The sequence below is a fragment of the Homo sapiens genome, chromosome 3, assembly GCF_000001405.40.
Source record: "Homo sapiens chromosome 3, GRCh38.p14 Primary Assembly".
NCBI classification, from domain to species: domain Eukaryota; kingdom Metazoa; phylum Chordata; class Mammalia; order Primates; family Hominidae; genus Homo; species Homo sapiens.
This window is the reverse complement of record NC_000003.12, coordinates 15,212,657-15,238,017: the sequence shown is the minus strand read 5'-3', so window position 1 is coordinate 15,238,017 and position 25,361 is coordinate 15,212,657. Positions and strand designations below refer to the sequence as shown.

The 25,361-nt window shown below is 36.6% G+C and overlaps 1 protein-coding gene across 17 annotated transcripts in view; it reads right to left on the bottom strand.

Annotated features, from left to right (window-relative positions):
- Nucleotides 1-25,361, bottom strand: part of CAPN7 (calpain 7) — a 46,671-nt gene that overhangs the window by 14,899 nt on the left and 6,411 nt on the right. For 13 of the 17 annotated variants that reach the window (NR_164767.1, NR_164761.1, NR_164765.1 and 10 more), the window contains 10 exons: nt 20,436-20,593; nt 19,478-19,545; nt 17,037-17,237; nt 14,457-14,543; nt 10,053-10,179; nt 8,959-9,044; nt 7,483-7,576; nt 5,353-5,499; nt 4,045-4,151; nt 2,873-2,993 (listed from right to left, as the gene is read on the bottom strand). Coding sequence is in view for 10 of the 17 variants with exons in the window: in NM_001376086.1 (NP_001363015.1) it covers nt 2,873-2,993; nt 4,045-4,151; nt 5,353-5,499; nt 7,483-7,576; nt 8,959-9,044; nt 10,053-10,179; nt 14,457-14,543; nt 17,037-17,237; nt 19,478-19,545; nt 20,436-20,593 (1,196 nt within the window). In the remaining 7 variants the exon portion in view is untranslated. Of the gene's footprint in view, nt 1-2,872; nt 2,994-4,044; nt 4,152-5,352; nt 5,500-5,859; nt 5,908-7,482; nt 7,577-8,958; nt 9,045-10,052; nt 10,180-14,456; nt 14,544-17,036; nt 17,238-19,477; nt 19,546-20,435; nt 20,594-25,361 lie in introns of all 17 variants that reach the window. The other 4 variants (XM_047447831.1, XM_047447832.1, NM_001376087.1 and 1 more) reach the window with 3 other exon arrangements.

Sequence of the window (25,361 nt, the reverse complement as noted above, 5' to 3'; positions counted from 1 at the left end):
CAATAAAAGAGTACTGGAGAAAACCTTTATATATAAATATACATTTTTTGAGGCAGGGTGTCACTGTGTCAACTAGGCTGGAGTGCAGTGGTGTGATCTCAGCTCACTGCAACATTGGGCTCAAGTGATCCTCCTACCTCAGCCTCCCAATTAGCTGGGACTACAGGCACGTGCCACCATGCCCAGCTAATTTTTTAAAAAATTATTTATTGTAGAGATGGGGTCTTGCTATGTTGCTCAGGCTGGTCTTGAACTCGTGGCCTCAAGCATTCCTCCTGCCTCAGCCTCCCAAAGTGCTAGGATTATAGGGGTGACCCACGGTGCCCAGCCACTTAAAATGTTTTGACTGGCATTTGTGGCAAATTATAATTTTAAAAAACCCCAAACTTATTGGCGTACTTAATTTCACATAATTTTTATATTTTTTGCTTTAAGTGGGCAATTTTTATGCCACTTTTAAAGAAGCAATTCTATAGAGCATGGCTGGGGGGTTCAACACTGACCAGCTAATTTAGAAAGTTCCAAGACTATAAATTTTAAAATGGTGCAATAGGTCCCTACTGTCCTCATTAACTTCATATACAGTCATGCACCATATAATGAAATGTTAAGACAGCGATGAACTACATATATCATAGTGGTTCCATAAGATTATAATGGAGCTGGAAAAGTTCTATTGCCAATTGACATCCTGATAATCCTGCCCCCATGTGGGCCTAGGCTAATGTGTGTGTTTATGTTTCGGATTTTAAGAAAACAGCCTAAAAAAAAATTAACAGAAAAAAGCTCAGGTAAAGTACTTGTGTACAGCTCTACAATGTGTTTGTGTTTTCAGCTAGTTGTTATTACAGAGCCAGAAAGTTAAAAAAAATTTAAAGTTTATAAAGTAAAAAATTACAGTAAGCCAAGGTTAATTTATTATTGGGCTGCTCCGATGGTAATGGGTTAATCAGAACTTATTAATAACATATCACTAAAGTTGGTATACAACCACCACTGATGATTTGACTGGCTTAGAACAATTCATTATTGAAGAAAAAAATATTTTTATAAAGTCTACATGTCTAGCATTCATAAAGTCTACAGTAGTGTACAGCAATGTCCTAGGCTTTCCCATTCACTCACCACTCACTCACTCACCCAAAGCAACTTCCAGTCCTGCAAGCTCCAACCATGTAAGTGCCCTATACAGGTGTACCATTTAACAAAATCTTTTATACTGTATTTTTACTGTGTTTTTCTATGTTCAGATATACAAATACCAAGTTGTTATAACTGCCTACAGTATTCAATACAATAACATGCTGTACAGGTTTGTAGTCTAGGAGCACTAGGCTATACCACAGAGCTTGGGTGTATAGTAGGCTGTACCATCTAGGTTTGTGTAAGTACATTTTATGATGTTCATGCCACAACAAAATCACCTAACAATGCATTTCTTAGAATGTACACTCATCATTAAGCAACACGTGACTGTAAATCCATGTGCCACACATAAGAAAACCAGTCTAATTAACACACAGTAGTGCTCTGTTATTGCTGACTGATCACTACTTCTATTCGTTCTGTTATCAAGGGTCCTTCATTAAGAAATAGTACTTGTTTAATAATCTTTTTATTTTTGAATCCATAGAACAAATCCATTTTTCAGTTAAAAATAACAACAACCTCAGAAGTAATGAAGTCAAATATTCTAACCAGATATTGCAGAAACAGGGTCTGTCTGAAAGGCCTGACAGCATGCAAGGGCTTCTAGGAAGAAAAATACTTGCTTACACAAAACACACTGGCATGTATCTTATGCCCAGCTATCTTCCTATTTTCTTCCCCTTTCACAATTTTTTATTTTTTCAGACAGGGTCTCTATCACTCAGGCTGAAGCACAGTGGTGTGATCATGGCTCAATGCAGCCTTGATCTTCTGTGCTCAAGCAATCTTCCCACCTCAGCCTCTTGAGTAGCTGGAATTATAGATATATGGCACCATGCCCAGCTAATTTTTTTTTATTTTTTGTAGCGGTGGGGTCTTACTATGTTGCCCAGGCTGGTTTTGAACTCCTGGCCTCGAACTCCTGGCCTCAAGAGATCCTTCTGCATCAGCTTCCCAAAGTATCGGGATTATAAATGTGAGCCACCATGCCTGGCCCACTTTCATAAGTATTTATTCAGTGTCTACTATGCTTTAGAGCAGGGGTCCCCAACCCCCGGGCCACAGACAGGTACTGGTCCATGGCCTGTTAGGAACTGGGCCGCATAGCAGGAGGTGAGCAGTGGGCAAGTGAGCATTACAGCCTGAGCTCTGCCCCCTGTCAGATCAGTGGTGGCATTAGATTCTCATAGGAGTGTGAACCCTATTGTGAACTGTGCATGCAAAAGATCTAAGCTGTGTTCCCCTTATGAGAATCTAATGCCTGATGATCTGAGGTAAAACAGTTTTATCCTGAAACCATGCTCCCACCCACCCCCCAGTCTGTGGAAAAACTGTCTTCCACAAAACGGATCCCTGATGCCAAAAAGGTTGGCGACCACTGCTTTAGAGCTTAACACTGTGATTGATCCAAACACGAAGAAGAAGCTTGGAATCTTGGAAGCTATGTATTCCGCCTCAAAACTGCTGGTTTTATGGAAAAGACAAAGAGGTGTAACAGCATTTCTGTTCTGTCATCAGTATCTGTGCCATCCCTATGATTTCCTTTCCCACCTTTTAATTTCATAATTTTCAACGGTAGAGATCAAGTTAATGTAGGTGAAATGGTTTATAAACTCCACTTAAACCTTGATTTGTCAGTATTCAGAAGTCTGATAAATTATCTGGGATCCCTGAAATGTCTTATCCAACAAGAAAAATAAAAGAAAAAGATTTAAGGCAAAACCTTGAACTCTCTAATATCCAAAACAGCATATGCGTGTGTGGGAACCAGACCCCACTTCTCTCCTTCAGCTTCTGTCATCATTCCAGTTGACGCAGTGATGAGGACATCTCCTTTGTGAAATCTGGAATGAACCCCAAAGACAATTAATTAAAGTAAAACACATTTGTAATCTAAGATCACACCATTTTATCTTTTAGTCTAATGGCTTACATGAAAATGGGCTGTTCCTACCCCTGAAGAATTTTCAAAAAGAAGTACATTTCTAATGCACAGTATATAAAATAAATTATCACATTTCTCTTTTTTTAAGTTTCTGGCAACTTAATTCTAAACCAGAAACCTACCAAAGAAGGAAAACAAACGCTAAATTTCAAGTGGTTTACAAATAAAAATAAAGACGTGAAATACCACAGGCATTTCCCAAACAGGCATATCATTTTATTTATCAAATCACTGAGCTTTCTAGTTTTGCAACCGAATGTGTATCACTGTTTAGACAAACTTCCAGTCCCTTAAATGGATATGGATTATCCATTTAAGGCTTAACTTCTCAGACTTCTCTTTTCCCACTTTCCCTCAACTTGGTAACTAATTAGTAAATCTAAAATAATTTTTCTATATTACATATTCTAATATTTTGGATTATCTACAATTTGGATTAACTGTAACTATTAAGGGAAGATAACTGAGGACTGGCTATAGGAAGTACATAATGTGAAGTCTATTTTAAAAACAATTTCCTTAATAACTAAAAACGACAACTTCTGCAATCTCTATTCTAAATCAGGCATGATGTTTTTATTTTTTAAATTTTTATTTATTTATTTTTGAGATGGAGTTTTGCTCTTGTTGCCCAGGCTGGAGTGCAATGGTGCAATCTCGGCTCACCACAACCTCTGCCTCCTGCGTTCAAGCGATTCTCCTGCCTCAGCCTCCTGAGTAGCTGGGATTACAGGTGCCTGCCACCACATCCGGCTAATTTTGTATTTTTAGTAGAGATGGGGTTTCTCCATGTTGGTCAGGCTGGTCCTCCAACTCCCAAACTCAGGTCATCTGCCTGCCTTGGCCTCCCATAGTGCTGGGATTACAGGCATGACCCACCACGCCCAGCCAGCATGATGTTTTTAAACGGCCACATTTACCACACACATAAAACAAAGAAAAATGTTTACCTTTGATAAAGCATTCTGAAAGAATTATCCTTACTGAAAGTTTGGCTATCTGAATGCATAGCAATTCTTTCTGGTATCCAGCCAGTCAGTGCATGAAGATCAATATTCTGCAACAGAAACACATTTCAGGACTGCCAGTGTCATTTTCAAGTTCTTAAATCCCCAGAGCAGCTATTACATCTCACTGATTTGGCATAATGATTTTGGTAGAAATAAATCAGAAGGTAGTTGTTTTCAACTAGTAATATATTTCTTATTTAACTCAAATTCCTAACTGAATTTGAACATGCATATTTTTCCCTACAATCTTTGTTGCTTTTCCTGAATAAAAAACTATTTTTTACAGGTGAATATGATAAAAAGACATGTAACAGAAAAAACTGCTTCAACGATGCAGTCACAAGTCCTTTAGTGAGTTCTTGCAATGATGTTCCTCATGTTTTACATACATTCCCATTCTTTCTCTCTCTAAACTCCACTGAGTAAATTAACAAGCAACAATTAGAAAGCTAAACTAAAAGTATGTGAAGGATAGAGCAATTGAAAGTATAGGCTGGGAAAAGAAAAACTGTAACATCCTATTGCATTTAATTATGACCTATATATTCTTTGCCTAGCATTAGAACTGGGCATAAAACTGGAAAAGTCAAGGACACCTGGTTTGGCAGGGAAACTAATCACTTATGAATGATGGGTGATTTGCATATGTCACTTCATTTTATTATTGGAATAAAGATGCAATTTTCATCTTTACGACTTTAAGACAAGAGGTGGATATTATCCTTATATTATGGATACATGAAGAGGCTAAGAAAGGTTAAACACATTTTCTAAGGCCACAGGCTGGTTATTGTAAGAATTTAAAGTCATGCCAATCTGACTAATTTCTTTCTGGCTCAAGTCTAGTTTACCTCATGCAACAAAAGGTCACTGGAAGACACCTCAATCTTATAGGTTAAGTTCTGTTAAGACTGGATAAAACAAGTAACTCCTTGAACCTGAATTACAAATAAAAAAATACATGACAATATGACACATCCATTTGATCTAAACAGACTGCTCTGGAAATGTACACTGTATTTATAATTGGCCTTGTATCCCAACAAAAGCAGACACAGTTTAGGCTTTCCCGGATACACAAGAAAATATATATATCCCCATAATACGGGGACTGGTCATCCTGTTTCAGGGGTTGATAATCTGCTCTCTTTCCCTATAAACAAAAAGACTATCTAGAATTTTTCAAATTTAAAACAGTTATATTAGATAGCTTAAATCTGTGTCTGGATCGTCTTATCTATTACTTACGGAGTTGGATCCTGGAAAATCATATCCTCCCATGACTTTCATGTATGCTTTTTCTATGAGAGAAACCCATAATTCACTTTTGTTGTTGGAATAAGAACAGAGCAATTCTCCCTTGTGATCAACAGGTAACTGGTCATCAATTATCACCTGGAGAAAGAGAACATTAACCTTCTTAGGTGCACAAAATATCTTAAAATCCTTTCTATCAAGAAATAAAAACATACCTTTCATACTGATAAAATATAACGCACAATATGCTGACGGCTATTAAGGTAATGTTTCTAGAATCATACCAATTACAAAATGTTGTTCTTTTTAATATGATGTCTTTATTCAATTTTACAAGCTAATCTGTCAGATGATAACCTTCAATCAATTGATTAAATGTCATGTAACTATCACTGAAATTAAAAGGCTGAGCATCTGAAATAAAAAATCTAAAATTTGAAATGCTCCAAAATCCAAGACTTCTTGATCACTGACATGATGCTCAAAGGAAATACTTACTGGAGTGTTTTGGATTTTCAGATTAGAGATGTTCAACTTGTAGGTATTCTGCAAATATTAAAAAATCTGTTAAAATCCAAAATCCAAAACACTTCTGGTCCCAAGTATTTCGGATAAGGGATACTCAACCTATATTATTCTAGAAATGTACATTTAAAATAATTACAAAAGGGCCTCACTTTTAAATGCAGTATTATTGTCATTTTATTCTAAACCTATAAAAAGACTCATGTATAGTTGTAAGAGTAGAACATTATGGCTAGAAAATACATATAAATAACAGAGGAAGTCATCAGATACAGTATCTAATTCATATTAAAAAGTGATCTGAGGCTGGGCGCGGTGGCTCACGCCTGTAATCCCAGCACTTTAGGAGGCCGAGGCGGGAGGATCATGAGGTCAGGAGATCGAGACCATCCTGGCTAACACGGTGAAACTCTGTCTCCACTAAAAATACAAAAATTAGCCGGGCGTGGTGGTGGGTGCCTGTAATCCCAGCTACTCGGGAGGCTGAGGCAGGAGACCCACTTGCACCCAGGAGGCGGAGGTTGCAGTGAGCCGAGATTGTGCCATTGCACTCCAGCCTGGGTGACAGAGTGAGACTCCATCTCAAAAAAAAAAAAAGTGTTCTCAGAGATATGAGGATAAGAATTTTGATTTAACACCAATAGGAAGATTATGCCATACATCTTTAAAGATTCTTTAAACAAGAGGTCAAGAATTATAGTTCAGTAAAATTATTCTCAATAATTTTCTTTACTTTTTAAGTAAATCAGGTAAAATGGCTCTCAGAGAGTATTCTAGACAACAACATCAGCATCACCTGGAATCTTGTTAGAAATGCAAATTTTGATCTCATCTCAGACCTCCAGAATCAGAAACTCTGGGCGTGAGGTCCAGAAACCTGTGTTTTAATAACAGATAATCACCTGCCAGGTGATTCTGTGCATACTAAAATTTGAGTATTACTGAACTACAGAGCAATGATTTTCAGGCTGGATCACAGGGGATCTAGGTGAAACGCAGATTCTGATTCAGCAGGTCTAGGGTGAAGCCTGAAATTCTGCAAAACTAACAAACTTCCAGGTGATGCTGATGTTGCTGCATGGATCTCAACATGGACAGGTGGTGGAGAACCTTAACAATGCAAGGCCCTTATAACAGAGTTCAGAGTCTTTCCTTAAAGAAATTTGTGTGAATTAAAATTATGCATATATATTTAAAAGGAAATAATTTCAAAGGCTTCTTACACTTAAGTTATGACTACATATACACTCTTCTGACCTAACAGATTTAGTTTGTCTGATTTCCTTTTAATCAAAACAATCAGATGAACTATCAGATGAAAATTTATTTTAAGCATTAGCAATCCTTAGTTGAACGTTACTTTTTGAAACTGTATACATTTTCTCAAAACCATTTAAAAAACAAGTTTATACTTGCCATGGTTTTAATTAATTTTTAATGATTAACACATGATGCTACTGGTAGTAATATATAATATCACAGACTCTAACTTTTAAAATGTTCAAACAGATGACATTTCTTAATGATTTCACTCAAGATTCAAAGGTAGGGAACGGAGAGAGACAAGGGATGGGAGTGGGGAGAGACATTATTCACCTTTCTTGGGACACCATTGAGGTGAAGTTTTACCATATACTTCCCACATGGATTGTATTCTGGTTCACCATCCTTGTTTTGAGGGTAAATTATGCTTTTGTAAGAAAAATAAATATTAAAATACCAACATTAGTATTCAATATCAACTACTATACAGCACATTTCATTCAGGTATATACTACCGTCTTGGCAATTTCATAAAAACAAACAGGAGAATATTTTCCTACAATAGGCCTAGAAAATGAACTACACCCTAATCAAAGTGCTTATTTACTATTAGTAAGTAATTTTCTGAGATCACAAAGTGGACATAAATTTCAAAATACTCTGAAAAGTGCTCAATGTTAACTTACATACCCTAATAAACCATCTATTAAGTGTATATATTTTAAGCCAGTTAAAATAATCTTTTACCACTGGCCCTAAGAAGTAAAGACCAATTAACCACAACTAAGGCAAGTAGATACAACTTTGACATATAGTTGCATGAAATTATACAGTAACATACTTCAACAACTATCAGTATCAATTTTCTTTTAAAATACATTTGGACCACTTATATGGCAAATAGTTGAAACTAAGGACTGCGTCTAATTCATCTTTATACTCTTAGGACTTAACACACAAAAACCGCTCAGGAAAAGTTGAAAAAATTATAATGCTTAGTTTTTGCAATGAATGATTTTAAGCTAATGTATCTTTTAAAAACTGAAAAAGTATTTCAGAAACATTTTAATACATTCTAAAGCAGTTCAAGCCAACAGAAATATGTTATATTTCCCAGTAACCACATTAAAAGTTAAAAAGGTAAAACTGCCTGTAATCCCAGCTACTTCAGAGGCTGAGGCAGGAGAATCGCTTGAACCCAGGAGGCAGAGGTTGTGGTGAGCCGAGATCACGCCATTGCACTCCAGCCTGGGCAACAAGAGCGAAATTCTTTGTCTCCAAAAAAAAAAAAAAAAAAAAAAAAAAAAGAAAAAAAGTAAAACCAATTTTGATGTTTTAATCACAAATCGAAATATGATTTTAACATATAATCAACACAAAAATGAGATATTTTGCAATTTTGCATTTTTTATGTTCTAAGTTTTCAAAATCTCATGCATTTTACACTTGCAGTGCATCTCCTCTTAATTCAGACTAATCCATTTCAAGTGTCTATAGCCACATGTGGCTAGTGACTACCTCACTTAACAGTCCAATCATAAAGTATTATCAATATGACATGATTTTACTTTGATCAATTTCATTTATTTCAAAACACATTAATTTCATATATATTAACTACGTGTATAGGTTCTTAAGACTGTTTTAGCGTATCTTTCCACATTCATAAATCATCTGCTTAATTTCTACAGAAGGGCCATATTCTGAATGATATGCCCTCTCCACTTTCTATACAGATAAGGCTTAAGTTTTAAATTTCTAGTTAAGGGACAATTACACAAAAAGAGGTAAAGAGAGACACATTTTTACCCGGTAATTAACTTCTTATTAAAACGTCTTTCATAAGCTGCACTGATGGCCAGTGATGCCACAAAGGAGCAATCCGATACTATTGTCTGTTAATAAGAATAATTAACATATTCATATTCATTCACGTAATTTCAACATTACCGCAATATACGTACATTGCCCCAAGTACCTACTTTTTATACTAAATATCTTTTCTTAAAACTTCTATTTTAGGTTCGGGGGTACATGTGGAAGGTAACATAGGTGAACTCGTGTCACAGGTGTTTGTTGTACATATTATTTCAACACCCAGCTATTAGCCCAGTACCCAATAGTTATTTTTTCCGCTCCTCTCCCTCCTCCTATCCTCCACGCTCAAGTAGAACCCAGTGTCTGCTGTTCCTTTCTTTTAAGCTGTTCTCATCATTTAGCTCCCACTTATCAGTGAGAACATGCAGTATTTGGTTTTCTGTTCTGCGTCAGTTTGCTAAGGATAATGGCCTCCAGCTCCATCCATGTTCCTACAAAAGACATCTCGTTCTCTTATGGCTGCATAGTATTCCAAGGTGTTTATGTACCACATTTTCTTCATCCAATCTGTCACTGATGGGCATTTAGGTTGATTCCATGTCTTTGTTATTTTGAATAGTGCTACAATGTATACTAAATATTTTCCTGGTTATTATTTGAATAGGAAAGTAACAAATAGAAACACCATACTGCTGACTCACACATTTTATTCTAATAAATCCTAGAAAATTAAATAATGTATTTCAAAAAAATTGATTTTGAATAATTACTCAAATAATTAAATATCCTTCTATTGCTGATATCTATTCCTTTATCAAAGGTGAAATTCAGATTCTCAAGTTTTACATTTACAGGTACATAATGATAAACAGGGCCCACATAAAAATCTGTAATCACTCAAAACAGTGATTTATACTTATATTATCTCAGTATGTTTCAGTCAAAATGTGTAGAATGAACAATTTTTCCAATTACACTTCTGTACCTGAATATATAATAAAAAATCTAAGAAAAAACTCAAATCTATACACAAATTACTTTAAAATGCTGACTTTTCTATAAAATCATACAAAATAAATGCTCACCTGCTTTATGCTAAAACTGGACACAGTATATATCATTGTAGGATTGTTGGTGAGGTCTTCTGGTCGTACCCACTTGGAAAATGTAGTTTTTTGTTTAGGTGATAATGGTAGCTTGCCCCATCTATCACTGAGGTAATAATAAAAATTAAAATAAAAAAATTAATCTTAAAAGATGACTCAAAGCCAAAATTAAATTTCCTAGAGATTTTTTTTTTGGTCTAGTGATTATAGCAGTACTGTATTATCTTAAAATAACCTTCTGGTCAAATCTGGCTCTTTATAGAGTCCAGTCAACCTGATCATCCCCTCCAATTAAAAAATATACCTAAATAATTGAAAACAGAAGAACAACTTAAATTCATTTATATTTAAGAATATAATTTTTTAAATTTAGCATAACTGTATTCAAGAAATTCAGCAATAAAATGAAACCATTAACAATAGTACAAGCTGATTCATTCAAAAGGACCTAGGAAGCTAAAGATTCAAAGCTGGTTTTTTACAAACTCCACTTGGCAAGGCTAATAATGAGTGTAGCTAATTTAGTGAATACTAACCATGTGCCAGGCATCATGCTAAAGTGCTTTACATACATAATCCACTTAATTCTTAAAACAACTCTATTAAAGGAATTATTTTTGGAAATAGCTTAAAGTGATTAATGACTTACCAAGGTCAGACACCTAAGAAACAGCAGAACTGGCATCTGAATCCAGGTCTCTGGTGCCAAATCCACCATTCTTATCCATTACCCTCTACTCACTGTGTGTAACAATGTTTCTCTAAAATTGATGTGTACACCAAGGGGAAACATCTACCTTTCCCCCTTTCCCTAAACTTTTTTTTTTTTTTTTTTAACAGTTGAGGTCTCCATATGTTGCCCAGGCTGCTCTAGAACCTCTGTGCTTAAACGATCCTCCAGCCAAGGCTGATACCAGCCTTCCTGAAGTAAATACCAGAGTGCTGGTATTACAGACACAAGCCACCAGGCCCAACCATCCCCAAACCCTTTCTAGAGCAGAAGCAACAAATCCTTGGTTTTCAAAAGATTTCCTAGTAATAGAAAGTATATAATATGCAAACTGGCACAAACATAACTTTTTTTTTTTTCAAAGAATGCTGACAGATACTGGGAGAAGAGAGGATTTTGTGGTCAAGTATGATCTACAAACTCCTGGTTAAAGTATTAGTTTTTTCATTGAAGGACACCTCTAGACTTTAAATAAGCCAATGTTTATTGCAATCTCTTAAAATAGAATATGGCATATAACATATCTCAAACATTTTTTATTATCATCTCACAGAACCACTAGTATTCCAGGTAGCATTTTGGTACCTGTATAATACCAGGAGCTAACTGTAAACAGAAAGTGAGCTAATTGAATTCAGAAGAGTTTAAAGACAGCTCTCAAAAATTTTGAGGAGAAAAAATTAATGCAAATTCAAATTCGTAATCTATTATTAACCTGTCATATGAACCATATTTCAGCATAAATCCAAGATTCCATAATATTTGTTCTCTCAAGTCACTAGAGGATTATTAAATTCAAGGTTTTTTCCCTCAGAACTTAAATATATTAAAAATATTTTACAGCCAGGCGCGGTGGCTCATGCCTGTAATCCCAGCACTTTGGGAGGCTGAGGCGGGCGGATCACTTGAGGTCAGGAGTTTGAGACCAGCCTAGACAACATGGTGAAACCCAGTCTCTACCCAAAATACAAAATTAGTCGGGCGTGTGGTGGGCGCCTGTAATCCCAGTTCCTTGGGAGGCTGAGGCAGAAGAATCTCTTGAATCTGGGAGACGGAGGTTGCAGTGAGCTGAGATCGCACCACTGCACTCTAGCCTGAGTGACAGAGTGAGACTCCATCTCAAAAAATAAAAAATAAAAAAACTTACAATTATAATATTTATTCAATAATGCTTATTTTATTATTTTAAAAGTAATACACGACCGAATAGAAACAATTTTAAAAAATAATTCAATCTCTCTAGCGAAAGATAAATTCTGGAGCCTTTTCCTGATGATCTGTTAACCCAACTTAAAAACATTTACTGTTGCTTTTTCTTCTGATTGTTCCTAAAGTAAAATAATTTAAAAAATAAGAAAATACCGTGCCACTTAGAATAGTAACTTTAGTATTTATTCTTGTTTTTCTCCCAATTTAACTACTTCAAGAAATATTTATTGAATACCTACTATACACCAGATACTGTGGTAGGCACTGGGGTGCAACTTAATTAAAACAGACATGGTCTCTGTCCTTATGAAGTTTATATGCTAGAGTAGCAGACAAGCATTAAGCAAGTAATCACCTTAAAGAGAAAAAAAAGAAAAATTCCAACTGTGACAAGTGCTATGCCTAAATTAAGGGAGTCTGCATGGCTACGTATTTTACTTTTCCAATTATATTATGAGCATTTTCCCATGTTATTACATTCCTTGAAAACTTGATTGTTTATGGCTATATAACATTTTTCTTATGGACACTGTGTCGTATAAGCATAACAAATATGATTTACATTAATTTGTTGCAAAAAGATAGAAATGATAAGTTTACATCTCTATTTGAATATTGTCAAGAAAATACCAGAATAACTGATTCATTTTCACAATTATAACAACAATGATAAATCGCTTTCGTACGAATTTTTGAGTATATCTCTAAATAGTTCCTTACAACTGGATTCCTGAAGTAAAATCATTAGTCAAAGAGGTATAAAAAATGTTAAAGTATTTGGAATATACAGCCAAATTGTTATATAACTTAGTAACTAACAAAATGATGATTTTTCTAGCAGGTAACCTTTATTATATAGTGCTTGCTATATAACAGCACCATTCTCAGGGTTTTACATTTTATTAACTCACAGTAACATTATGAGGTAGTTTCTATTATTATCCCCATTTTACAGACAAGAAACTGAGACAGATTTAACAACTTGCCCGGTGTTACACAAGGTTTGAGACCAGAAAGTCTGGCTCTAGAATCTTTCCCTGAACATTAATGCTATAAAGTTTCTCAGATATAAAAATTCCTTTGGTCCCAATCAGTTACTAGCATCACACAGCTACCTGAGTGAAAAAAATATGTTAACTGGCTTTGTGATACCTAACCCTTGGCAAAAGAACAGCAAAACACTAGAAAATAAAAAGCAGCCCTTTTGTTCTTTACAGAGCCTTCATATTCTATATAGTAAGCATCCAGCTTTTTTTTTCTAATAATAAATATAACATGCTCATTGGAGAAATTTTGAAAAATAAAAAAGTACTGAAAGAGGTTAAATCACAAAATTTTGTTACCTAGACATAACCACTGTAAATATTCGGGTATATTTCTCCACATCATTTTTTTTTTCTATGCATCTATAAATACATGAAAAGAAAAAGAAGGGTCAGGCACAGTGGCTCACATCTGTAATCCCAGCACTTCGGGAGGCTGAGGCAGATGGATCACTTGAAGTCAGGAGTGCAAGACCAGCCTGGCCAAAATGGTAAAATCTCGTCTCTACCAAAAATACAAAAATTAGCTGGGCGTGATGGTGCATGCCTGCGGTCCCAGCTATACAAGAGGCTGAGGTGGGAGAATCACCTGAGCCTGAGAAGTCAAGGCTGCAGTGAGTCATGATCACATCATTGCACTCCAGCCTAGGCAATGGGAGTGAGACCCTATCTCAAAAAAAAAGAAAAAAAAAAAAAATTTGGGACATCATAATTTTCTTTTTGATTTCTGTAATGGGAACATTTTTTTTCCTACAGTTTTAAATACTTATTTTGAGTAGCATAATATTTGACTGTATAGATGTACTATTATTTAATCATTCCCATATTGCCAGTTTGTTTCAATAATTTTTTGCTGCAACAGATGCTTTGATGAGTGTCCTTATTATGTACATCTTTGACTGTTGATTTCCTTACGATGACTACAAGCTCGGACTCCTGAACCAAACAATATTTTTAAAGCTCTTGACATAAGCTGCCATTGTCCTGGAAGGCTGTGCTAACTAATTCTCTCATAAATAGTCCTTGCTTGAATTGGTCTTCTTAGTAAACAATGACATCATTCCATTCCCCTTTTCCATTCAGTTTCTTTACTGTGTGTTAGAATTTCTGTTGTGATTCAATCACTGCTTGGACAAATATTTACGGAGTACTTACTTTACACCAGGTACTGTGCTAGACACTACAGAAATAATATTAGGCAAAAGGAGATCCTCATGTCCTCATGACTGGGCAAATAACAAAAGTGCTCTTGCTATGTTGCCCTATCCCTTTCCCACAGCCACCCCTCTATTCCAACAAATTTTTTTATTACAAATTTTAATTTCAAGGCTATTAAATTGAACTTCAGAGTACTGAAAAGTTAAAATATTGGAGTTAAAAATTGCAACAGTGCTTACTTACCAGAAAGGCATTGGATAGGCAAAACGTTCTCTCAGGTCAACATTCATGAAAGGAACATATTCTATACCATTTATTTTTGATGTTGTCCTATCAAACACGAGAAAAAAACCTAAATGTTCAAGTTTACCTTAATTGCCAATCTTATTTCAACTCTTTAAAATTTAAATGACAAGGTATGATACTGTATTAAAATTAAACTGACAACCTCATGTTGTTGATATATCTTTGGACAATATTTTCATAAAATAATTGAAAATCAGAAAATAACTGAATCAATTCAAACCAATAAGAATATTCTTTAAAGGCTAACACCCACAAGAAGACAAGACTATTCAAGAGGTAATGAAAGTGTCCTTGACACCAAGACACAAAACCAATTCTATGCTAAGCCTAAAGGGAGAAATCAATTGCTTAAGTTATTTTGGAATTAAAAAAACACATTAACAATTCTGAAATACATGCTCTTCACGTTTTCTGGTTATGAGGACATGAAATGGGTAGTGGAAGAAGGAAGTGTCATAGATATCAGCTATGGTCTACTGACAAATTAAAGAAATAAGGTTTGTAGTAGCTTTGCATTCTCCTTGTTTTGTGTATATGCTTATTTATCTATATTAACTATTTCCTTCTTGTATCTGTTTCTCTCCCTTATTCTATTTATGAGATGTTGCAGAGTAACTTCAGAATTTAGTCTTTAGGTAACAATAGCCTGGAAATCTGAGGACTACTTAATATAGTCAGGAATAGATGAAATGATTGTTGGGACTATGTACAGCCTTATTTTGGAAAGATAATGAAAACTTTTCACTCGCATGAAGGATAGCTGCATTTTGTTAGGTGGAATATAGAGTTGTTCTGGTGTAGTACAGAATTTCAAACATGTGAAGGTAGCATATGGAAAAGTGTTGGACTGTTATTAGTCTTTTAGCTTCAAAACTACCCTTCTTTGTCCTGTATTGTGCTGTGTTGGTGCACATGCAATTTTTCCTAGACAAAGGGAGCCAGATTAGCAGGAGTACAATTACAATCTTCAGCAGGAAAGGAAAGAAAAATGCTCTCAGATGGCTGCTACCTAGGCAGAAGCCCTTTCAGCTCAATTTTAGAAAATAAAAAGATGAACACCTACATGACTTACACAGCTCTAAGCAGACTGAACTTTCTGCAGTGCTCAACTTTAAAAAAGCCACCCTGTCTGGCTCAGGGACTTATCCTAGCTACACTGGTTCAGAGGGCAATCAAGAATTTCCACATTATTGTGTTTCACATTTCATTTTTTTTTGGTACAGCTCCTTGTGGAACAGGGCTACTCCATAGGCAGTGTGCCCAGAGTAGCCGTGTTTTACATTTTTAATATCCTCTGAGACTGCTTTCAGACACGCTATAACCCCCGCTAGACAGGGGGTCGGCAAATGTTTTCTGTAAAGAGCCATATGGTATATAGCTTAGGCTTTGCAATGAGGTTTCTGTCATATATTCTTTTTTTTTTTTTTTGATGCATGTAAAACCTTTCAAAGAAAAACTTTACATATATATATACGTATACGTATACTATATACGTATATGTATACGTATGTATATACACGTGTATACACACATATTTTTTTTTTTGAGACGGGATCTCCCTCTGTTGCCCAAGCTGGAGAGCAGTGGCGTGATCTCGGCTTTGCAACCTCCACCTCCTGGGCTCAAGTGATCCTCCCAAGTAGCTGGGATTACAGTGCACATCATCATACCCAGCTATTTTTTGTATTTGTAGTAGAGATGGGGTTTTGGCATGTTGCCCAGGCTGGTCTCAAACTCCTGAGCTCAAGTGATCTGCCCCCCTCTGCCTCCCAAAATGCTGGGATTGCAGGGGTGAGCTGCCAGCACACCACCTACACTCCTATTTCAAAGTAACATTTTTTCTCCCATTAGGGCTCTGGTTACAAAGTTGCATAGATTAAGAGTGGTCTGCTACAGCTCATTTTGCTCCTTAACCTTTAGTGGCTCAGTTTCACAGAATGCTAGGATTTTCAGCAAAGTGTATTATGTCTAGCAAAAACGCTAATATTAAAATATACTGGAACTAAAGCCGGGCACAGTGGCTCATGCCTGTAATCCCAATACTTTGGGAGGCCGAGGTGGGCGAATCACCTGAGGTCAGGAGCTCGAGACCAGCCTGGCCAACATTATGAAACCCTGTCTCTACTAAAAAAAAAAAAAAAAAAAAAAAAAATTAGTCAGATGTGGTGGCACACACCTGTAGTCCCAGCTACTTGGGAGGCTGAGGCAGGAAAATCGCTTGAGCCCAGGAGGCAGAGGTTGCAGTGAGCCAAGATCACACCACTGCACTCCAGCCTGAACAACAGAGTGACACTCTGTCTCAAAAAATACAAATGAAAATAATAAAATAAAATAAAATATATCAGAACTAAAATTTTAACTATTTCAAGTTGTGACTACATGATGATATAATTACATAATAACAGCACAATACACTATAGGAGAAATCTGAATACAATTCAGCAAACCTAATGAAAATAAAATTCTGCATTCATGTTAACAAAATTCTTCATTACAATTAATTGTAAACTTATTTACCTGAGTACTTCTATTTCTTCTGCTGTGTATCTCTGTCCTTGTGCATCACATGACTGAGGACTTATAAATGACTGAGGTCTTTCAAGGAAGGGATTAGCGCCCAGTGGAAAATGTGCTCTCACTGGAGGTGGCTTTGGCTTAACACTTGTTGAACTGATTTTGCCAACTGGCTTGGTCAAAGGCTCACTCAGCGCTTCTGCTCTATAACAGAGAGGAACAAACAACTGTTCTAGTTTTTCTACTCACATTTAAGCTTTTCAGGAAACAAAATTTACTTGAAGAACCAGTCAAGCATCCCTAATGTAAAATTAGTATATAAAATTCTTACATACTAATCAACATTTCACTACTTCAGCTACTTCCAAAGATAAGCATCTTTTACAAACAATATTCTATTGACAACATTAATTAAGCACTTACATAATCAGACACCATACAAGGTAAGGTAAGTGGTATAAAAGAACGTATAAAACAATCCCTACCCTTAAGGTACTCATAGTTTTGTAGGGAAAGACAGACAACTGCATCAAAAATAACAGATACTAGGATGAAAGTATTACATGCAAATGAATGTACAACAGAAGTTATTCACTTAATGAATTGCCAAGTGGGGATGAGTTGGAGAAGGGTGCTCTGAACTGATGCTTGAGCTGCAGAGTTGTTCACCTGGGCAGTGAGGAAGCATTCTAAGTAGACAGAAGAACATGTACAAACGTGCAGAAGTATGAAACAGCACAATGAATTAAGGTAATTTCTTTTTTAAATTTTTTATTTTTTTTTTTGAGACGGCGTTTCACTCTGTTGCCCAAGCTAGAGCGTAGTGGCGCAATCTTGGCTCACTGCAACCTCTGCCTTCCGAGTCAAGCGATTCTCCTGCCTCAGCCTTCTGAGTAGCTGGGATTATAGGTGCCTACCACCACGCCTGGCTAATTTTTGTATTTTTAGTAGAGACAGGGTTTCGCCACGTTGGCCAGGCTGGTCTCGAACTCCTGACCTCAGGTGATTCGTCCACCTCAGTCTCCCAAAGTGTTGGGATTACAGGCGTGAGCCACCGTGCCCGGCCAGGTAATTGCAAAAGAATGAATGTTGCCCCTGTGAGAAGTGCAAACGAGAGGCAGCAGGAGATGAGACTAGAGAGGAAAGCAGGGGCTGGATCACAGACAGCCTCACATGATATGCAACAGAATTTTAACTTTGTTCTGTCAAAGAACTAACGAGCTAAAAAATAGAAGTTCTTAACCTGAGGTGCATATATGAGCTTCAGGATTCTTGTGAAAACTCTGAAATTATATGCAAAAAAATTTCATGTACATTTTCCTAGAGAATGGATCCATAAGTTTCAAAAGATCCTCATAGGAGCCCATGGCTATCTCACCCACCCTTTGCTTAGGGTGCACTTGAGAATATTGGATGGGTTAGCCACAGACGTAATAAAGTCACTTATAATTCTGACAGGTGAAAGAAGTCAAGATAGAGAAGACAACTGTATGTCAAGGACTCGTATCTTTGTGAATCTGAGGAAACAAACTAAAGTTAGTAGATGACAATGAAAAGGAGGGATGACTATTTTACTTCAGTTAAAAAAAGAAGGGCTTGGGGTGGTACAGTTATCTATCAGGTCAGAGCCTCAAAAGGAGATAATTCATGATGTAGGTATAAAAGCAATTTCCACCCTTTCATTTTTTGTGTGTCTACAACACTCTTTCAAGATATATAATTCGCTTATGCAAACTCATTCATTCTTTTAGCAAATATCTACTGAGCACATATTACATGTCAGGCACTCTGCTGGGTACTTGGTTACAGCACTAAATAAAATAGACAAAAATCTCTGCCCTCAGAGCTTACATCTGGGGGATGAAGGTTGGAGGGGACACAGACATTAACAACAAATATAATAAGCTAGTAAATCTCACAGACCTCAGAAAATAAGAGCTGTGGGAAAAATACCAGAATAATCAGGTTGCAACTGCTGGGGGAGATTCAATTTTAAACAATGGTTAGGGCAGGCTTCATTGAAAAGTTGACATTTCAGCTAAGAGGTGAAAGAGCTACACACTGTATAATCTGAGGTATGTACATGGCTGAAAGCAAGTTCATGCTCATGTTTTCTATTTTTAGCAGATCTGGAAGGCTCTCTGGAAGTTCTCTTTGAAAGTCTGATATTACATAACAGAAAGGAGGTCCTCCATTGCAAATATCACAGTCCTTTCTGTTCTAAACTAAAATTAAAAACATTTATTGATTTGCTATTTCTTGAGTTTAAAGCAGGGAACTAGAGAGAGGAGGTAAATTCACTAAGAAGTAGAAAGTAGATTTGTTTCAGATGACAGTTAAAAGATGGAGGTTTGTTACTGCAGCCTTTACAACACATTTAGATAAATTTGTTTAAATAACACTAAGTGCCATCCATGGATTAGAACTTGAGAGATCAAACTCACCTGTCTAGTGCCTGTCGAGCCAACTGTTTCAGTTTATTTTGCAGGACTTTATCAGCAGTTTCATAAGACTTAAGAGAAAGAAAGAGACAGACATTTTAAAGCATAATTATTTTTCAATTTGCTTGATCCATATTTCTAAGCAAAAAATTTACAATGCATATTACACTTGCTGAAATTGAGAACAAACAAAGATGACATTAATTCTCATCCTTAAAGGTATCATTTAAAATAGTGTTGAAAATTTGTCACTGAGGTGCACTTTAAAACCACTTATGTGGACAACTGATAACTGGACCAGAACTGTTTGACCATAGTGCTGTGGAACGCTGAGTGGCAGGAACCTCAGAACACTAGCACTCATTTAGTCTCAAGGCACCTACAGAAATCAGGCCAGATGGTCTCTCTGAGCAAAAGTCTCTGCCAAAAAGCCAGTCAGAAAGACATGGGGATACCAGTCTCAACTACTTTACCTCATCCTCCTGTCAAATACACTGCTCTCTTATGCACTAGATGTCCCTTGAAGCTAAGAGTCCCAACCAAGGCTCAGCAGGGAGCAGTAAAAGCCACTCAGCATACAGATTTTACACTGCAAATAAGTAAGGCTCATCCAAACCACTAGCTTATTTTTTAGTGCACGAAACTGAAAAAAGGGGAAGTTTATTCTAAATTAATAGATTTGTGATAATGAATTCTGTAAGTTTATTTTAGTTGTAAGAACAGAAATGTTAAAAATAGTTCTTGTAATTTAAGACTCAATACTTTCAAAATTTTAATAAGATGCAAAAACCCATTATTAGCTTTCTACTCATCATCTTATATTGAGGAGTAGTTGTTACATTTAAAATAATTTTTTTTATTCTGTTAAAATTCTTTTATTCAAGGTGTTATGTAAAATTCACTAGCAAGAGAAGAAATGGTTTGGCATAACTCATCAAACGTAATTTGTAGCTATACACACTGTTTTCAGACAGAGATCCACAGCTTCTGTGTACAATTCTATAGCATCTTCAACATTCTCTTTTTCATCTTCATCAAAAGCTTGTGTAACAAGGAAATGAGCACGCTCTAAGTCCAACTGATGTTTTGACTTCAAAGGATCAGCACTCTTTGACTGAACTAGGATAGAAAAAAAAATACGCAGAAGGAGTATTATCTAAATACAGCCAGAAAACACACTATTTTCACTATTTAAGACATTTTTTACCAAAACCCTGTATTCTTCATTTAAAAAACTTAGCAAGGTTAAAAAAATCCTTAAAAAAGGACAAATTTCCTCCCTTCTTTTTTTTTTTTTAGACAGGCTCTTGCTCTGTTACCCAGGCTAGAGTGCAGTGGCACAATCACAGCTGACTGCAGCCTCTACCTCCTCGGGCTCAAGAGATTCTCCCACCTCAGCCTCCTGAGTAGCTGGGACTACAGGAGTGTACCACCATGCCTGGCTAATTTTTCTCTCTTTTTTTTTTTTTGTAGAGATGGGGTTTTGCCATGTTGCCCAGGCTGGTCTTGAACTCCCAGGCTCAAGCAATCTGCCAGTTTCAGCCTCCCAAAGTGATGGGATTACAGGTGTGAGCCACCATGCCCAGCCTTCCTCCCTTCTCTTTTTAATCTTAAGGTCTAAGAAAAAAAATCTGCAATTATTTACCACACAATAGACATCAGAGATAAAGAATAGTAAAAAATACACTACTTATTTAAAAAATTCTTTCCCTGAATTTCTCTCTCCCACTGGCACTTTCTTCACTTAAAAATTGAAACACAGGCATTCTCCTCATATGCTCCTCTACCTCAAAAGACAAAACAAAAACTTGGAAATTGCTAAATATTAAGAAATCTATTTTAAGGCAATTAAAACTTTTTTTTCTGCACAGACAAAATTGTGTAATATACTAGGCTCTGATGATAAAGTTCCTGCTTTTTCTATTTACCCTGAGCCTAGAATATGTTATGTATTTTCATTGCTCTTTGAAATAATATTTTCATTTGATTTTAATAAAAAAATACGTATCTATAAGAAACATGTATCCAGAATATATAAAGATCTCTTAAAATTCAACAATAAAGACAACCCAGTTAAAAAATGGGCAAAGGATCTGAACAGACATTTCTCCAAAGATGGCATTCAAAAGGTCAAATGGCACATAAGAAATTGCTGAACGTTAGCCATCAAAAAATGCAAAACACAACCACAATGAGATGACACCTTATGCCCACTAGGATGGCTAAAATCAGAAAGACAATAACAAGTGTTAGGATGTGAAGGACTTGGAACCCAGATACACTGCTGATGGAACTGTGAAATGATGTAGCCACTCTGGAAAACAATTTGGCAGTTCCTCAAAAAGTTAAACATGGAGCTACATCCTATGACACAGCAGTTCCACTTCTGGGTGGAATTCCAAGAGAATTGAGAAAACATGTCTATGCAAAAATCTGTACATGAATTTTTTTTTTTTGAGACAGAATCTCACCCTGTCACCCAAGTTGGAGTGCAGTGGTGCGATCTCAGCTCACTGCAACCTCCACTTCCTGGGTTTTCAAGCAATTCTTGTGCCTCAGCCTCCCAAGTAGCTGGGACTACATGTGTGCACCATCACGCTTGGCTAATTTTTGTATTTTTAGTAGAGACGGGGTTTCACCCTGTTGGCCAGGCTAGTCTCAAACTGCTGGCCTCAAGTGATCTGTCTGCCTTGGCCTCCCAAAGTGCTGGGATTACAGGCATGAGCCACTGCGTGTACATGAATGTTCTTAACTGCATTATTTATAACAGCCAAAAGGTGTAAACAACCCAAATGTCTCCAAAAACTAATGAACGGATAAACAAAATGCAGCACATCAATACAATGAAATATTACTCAGCCATAAAAAGCAATGAAGTATTGATACAATCTACAACATGGAAAAATCTTGCAAACATTAAACTCAGTGAAAGAAGCCACATGGCAAAAGGGCCATGTTTTGGATGATTCCATTTGTATGAAATATCCACAATAGGCAAATCCATAGAAACAACAAGATTAGTGGTGGCTAGGGGGAGGGAGGAATGGGGATTGACTGCTAATGGGTAAGAGGTTTCTCTTGGGGTGATGAAAACTTTCTAAAATTAGATAGTGGGGATGACTGCACAACTCTGGGAATAGGCTAAAAACACCTGAATTATATACTTTAAGAGGGTGAATTTTATGATATGGAAATTGTATCTCGCTAAACTTGCTATTTAAGAAAAGTCTGAGATTTTGTTAGTTCTTTAAAGTTACGTGTTTTTGGTTTTTTTTTAAATACACGGTCTCACTAGGTTGCCCAGGCTGGCCTTAAACTCTTAAACTACTGGGCTCAAGTGACCCTTCTGCCTTAGCCTCCCAAGTGGCTGGAACTACAGGCACTCACCACTGTGCCCAGTTTGTGCTGATGTTTTCAAAACTTTAGCCTTCTTAAATGCCTCTCTGAAGTATATACTAATTCCATTGATGAAAAAGATACCAAAGCTCAAAAATGTTGAAATATCTAGCCCAGTGTTTCTCAGCCTGGCATTATTGACATTTTGGGCTGGATAATTCTTTGTTGTGGGAGACTTTTTAGCAACAGCCTTGGCCTCTACCCAGCTAAATCCCAGAAGCATATTCCTTGCCACCCAGCAGCGTGAAAACCAAAAACTTCTCCAGAAATTGCCAAATGTCCCCTGGGGGGCAAATTGCTTTCTACTGAGACCCATTGATCTAGTCTAAGATTTCACAGCTACAAGTGAAAGGGTAGAGACTCAACAGGGATCTTTTAATTCCAAGTCTTGAACTCTGTACTACGACGGTTAATTTTACTTTTTATTTTTCGAGACAGGGTCTTACTCTGTCATCCAGGCTGAGGGCAGTGGTGTAATCACGGGTCAGTGCAGCCTCAACCTCCTGGGCTCAAGCAATCTTCCTGCCTCAACCTCTGAGGAGCTGGGACTACAGGCACACACCACCATGCCCAGCAAATTTTTTCAATTTTTGTAGGGGTGAAGTCTATGTTGCCTAGGCTGATCTTGAACTCCTAGATTCAAGGGATTCTCCTGCCTCAGCTTCCCAAAGTGCTGGGATTACAGGCATGAGCCACTGTGCCGGCCTATACTGGTTAATTTTAAATTATGTTACCTTTCCCCACCCCAAAATCAACTCTCTCTCAGGATTCTCTTAACTGTCAGCAGACTATCTTGTTTTAAAACTTAGGGTTCCTAACAGGATTTTTATTTGAAAAAGGACTTTTCTGCTTAAAATAATAAATAAGAAAATCCTTTAAATTGTCTAGAGATTATACTCCATTTCTTCAACAAAAGCAGAAAGAAGTTGGTAAAACAAGCTATGTTATGCTTTAAAAATCCTTTTTAAGGCCAGGCATGGTGGCTCACGCCTGTAATCCCAGCACTTTGGGAGGCCGAGGCGGGTGGATCACGAGGTCAGGAGATCGAGACCATCCTGGCTAACATGGTGAAATCCTGTCTCTACTAAAAATATAAAAAATCAGCTGGGTGTGGTGGCAGGCGCCTGTAGTCTCAGCTACTGGGGAGGCTGACGCAGGAGAATGGCGTGAACCCCGGAGGCGGAACTTGGCAGTGAGCTGAGATCGCGCCACTGCACTCCAGCCTGGAAGACAGAACGAGACTCCACCTCAAAAAAAAAAAAAAAAAATCCTTTTTGAACTCTATTTCACTGGCAAGTCTTTATTCTTCAAGAGATTGGGGTGTCTCATTTGATGCTTGAATATCACATATATATCAATGTTTAGAATTTATTTCCCAAAAATCACATGTAAGTTTTTAGGCTTAGCTGTATTTAATATAAAGTAAGAATAATTTTTAAAATTCCTTAGAAAAAAATGATTCATATTTATTTTTTCCAATTGTCACAAGGATTTCAAGGGTTTAAAGAGCAATCTTACTGGAATCAAGACCCTAGGGCATAAATGTGCTTGACTGTGTGTACATATGGAAAAGAAAGATGGAAATATACCTTAGGCTGCCAGAGATTCTACTCCTGGAATAATATCACCATATAATCTCTCCTTTCTAGAGCATTCTGCTTTAACATTTAGTCTAGCATGCTTCAGAAAGGGGTTTCCATGATAGTGCAATGTTGACACTGTTCTCTCTCCACACCTGATGAAGTCCTCCTGAGGACATGGACTGTCACTCATCTATTACCCTGTACTTACCATAGAGCCCAAACATGTATTCAATACATAGTTATTGAAATGAAGAAAACTATCTATGAAAAAACAAGGAGATCATGGAAGTAAACATGAAAGACTACCTTCCCTACTTCAAAGATAATTTTATTTGAAAACACTGGTTATGAAACAAAGTTCCTAATATTGGGCAGTTAAATTTAAGAACTTCATTTACTTGGCTGGGAAAAGAAAGTTCCTTTGAATTTTATATGATATTTTGAATACATGAATCAATACTTTGTATCAAGTGAGGTTCCAATAACACAGGCAGTACACTTTTCAATACATGCAATTTCTGGGCACTGTATTAAAAGTAAACCGCCTTGTTTTTAAGGGAACTGTCATAACAAGGAATCCAATGATTAAATCTACTTTATCCCAACGATGTTCTTGTAATTGCTCGTATCTACTCAAAATGAGTGGTAGAAAGTTACACAAAGTCCATGAGAATAAATATTCTTCTGCTTGGCGCTTTATCATGCAGCAACAGAAAAAGAGGGTTAAAAAGAATCCCTACAGAAATCAATGTATTTGTAAATACAATGTCAACATCAGTTACCTCTAACAAAACTGTGACCATTAAGACTATATATTTCTATTATTGTACCTGTTGTGCTGTTTACAAAAATAAATACAAGTAGTTCCAAGTCTCTGTTTACATGTCACTTTCCCAAGATATGGTTTT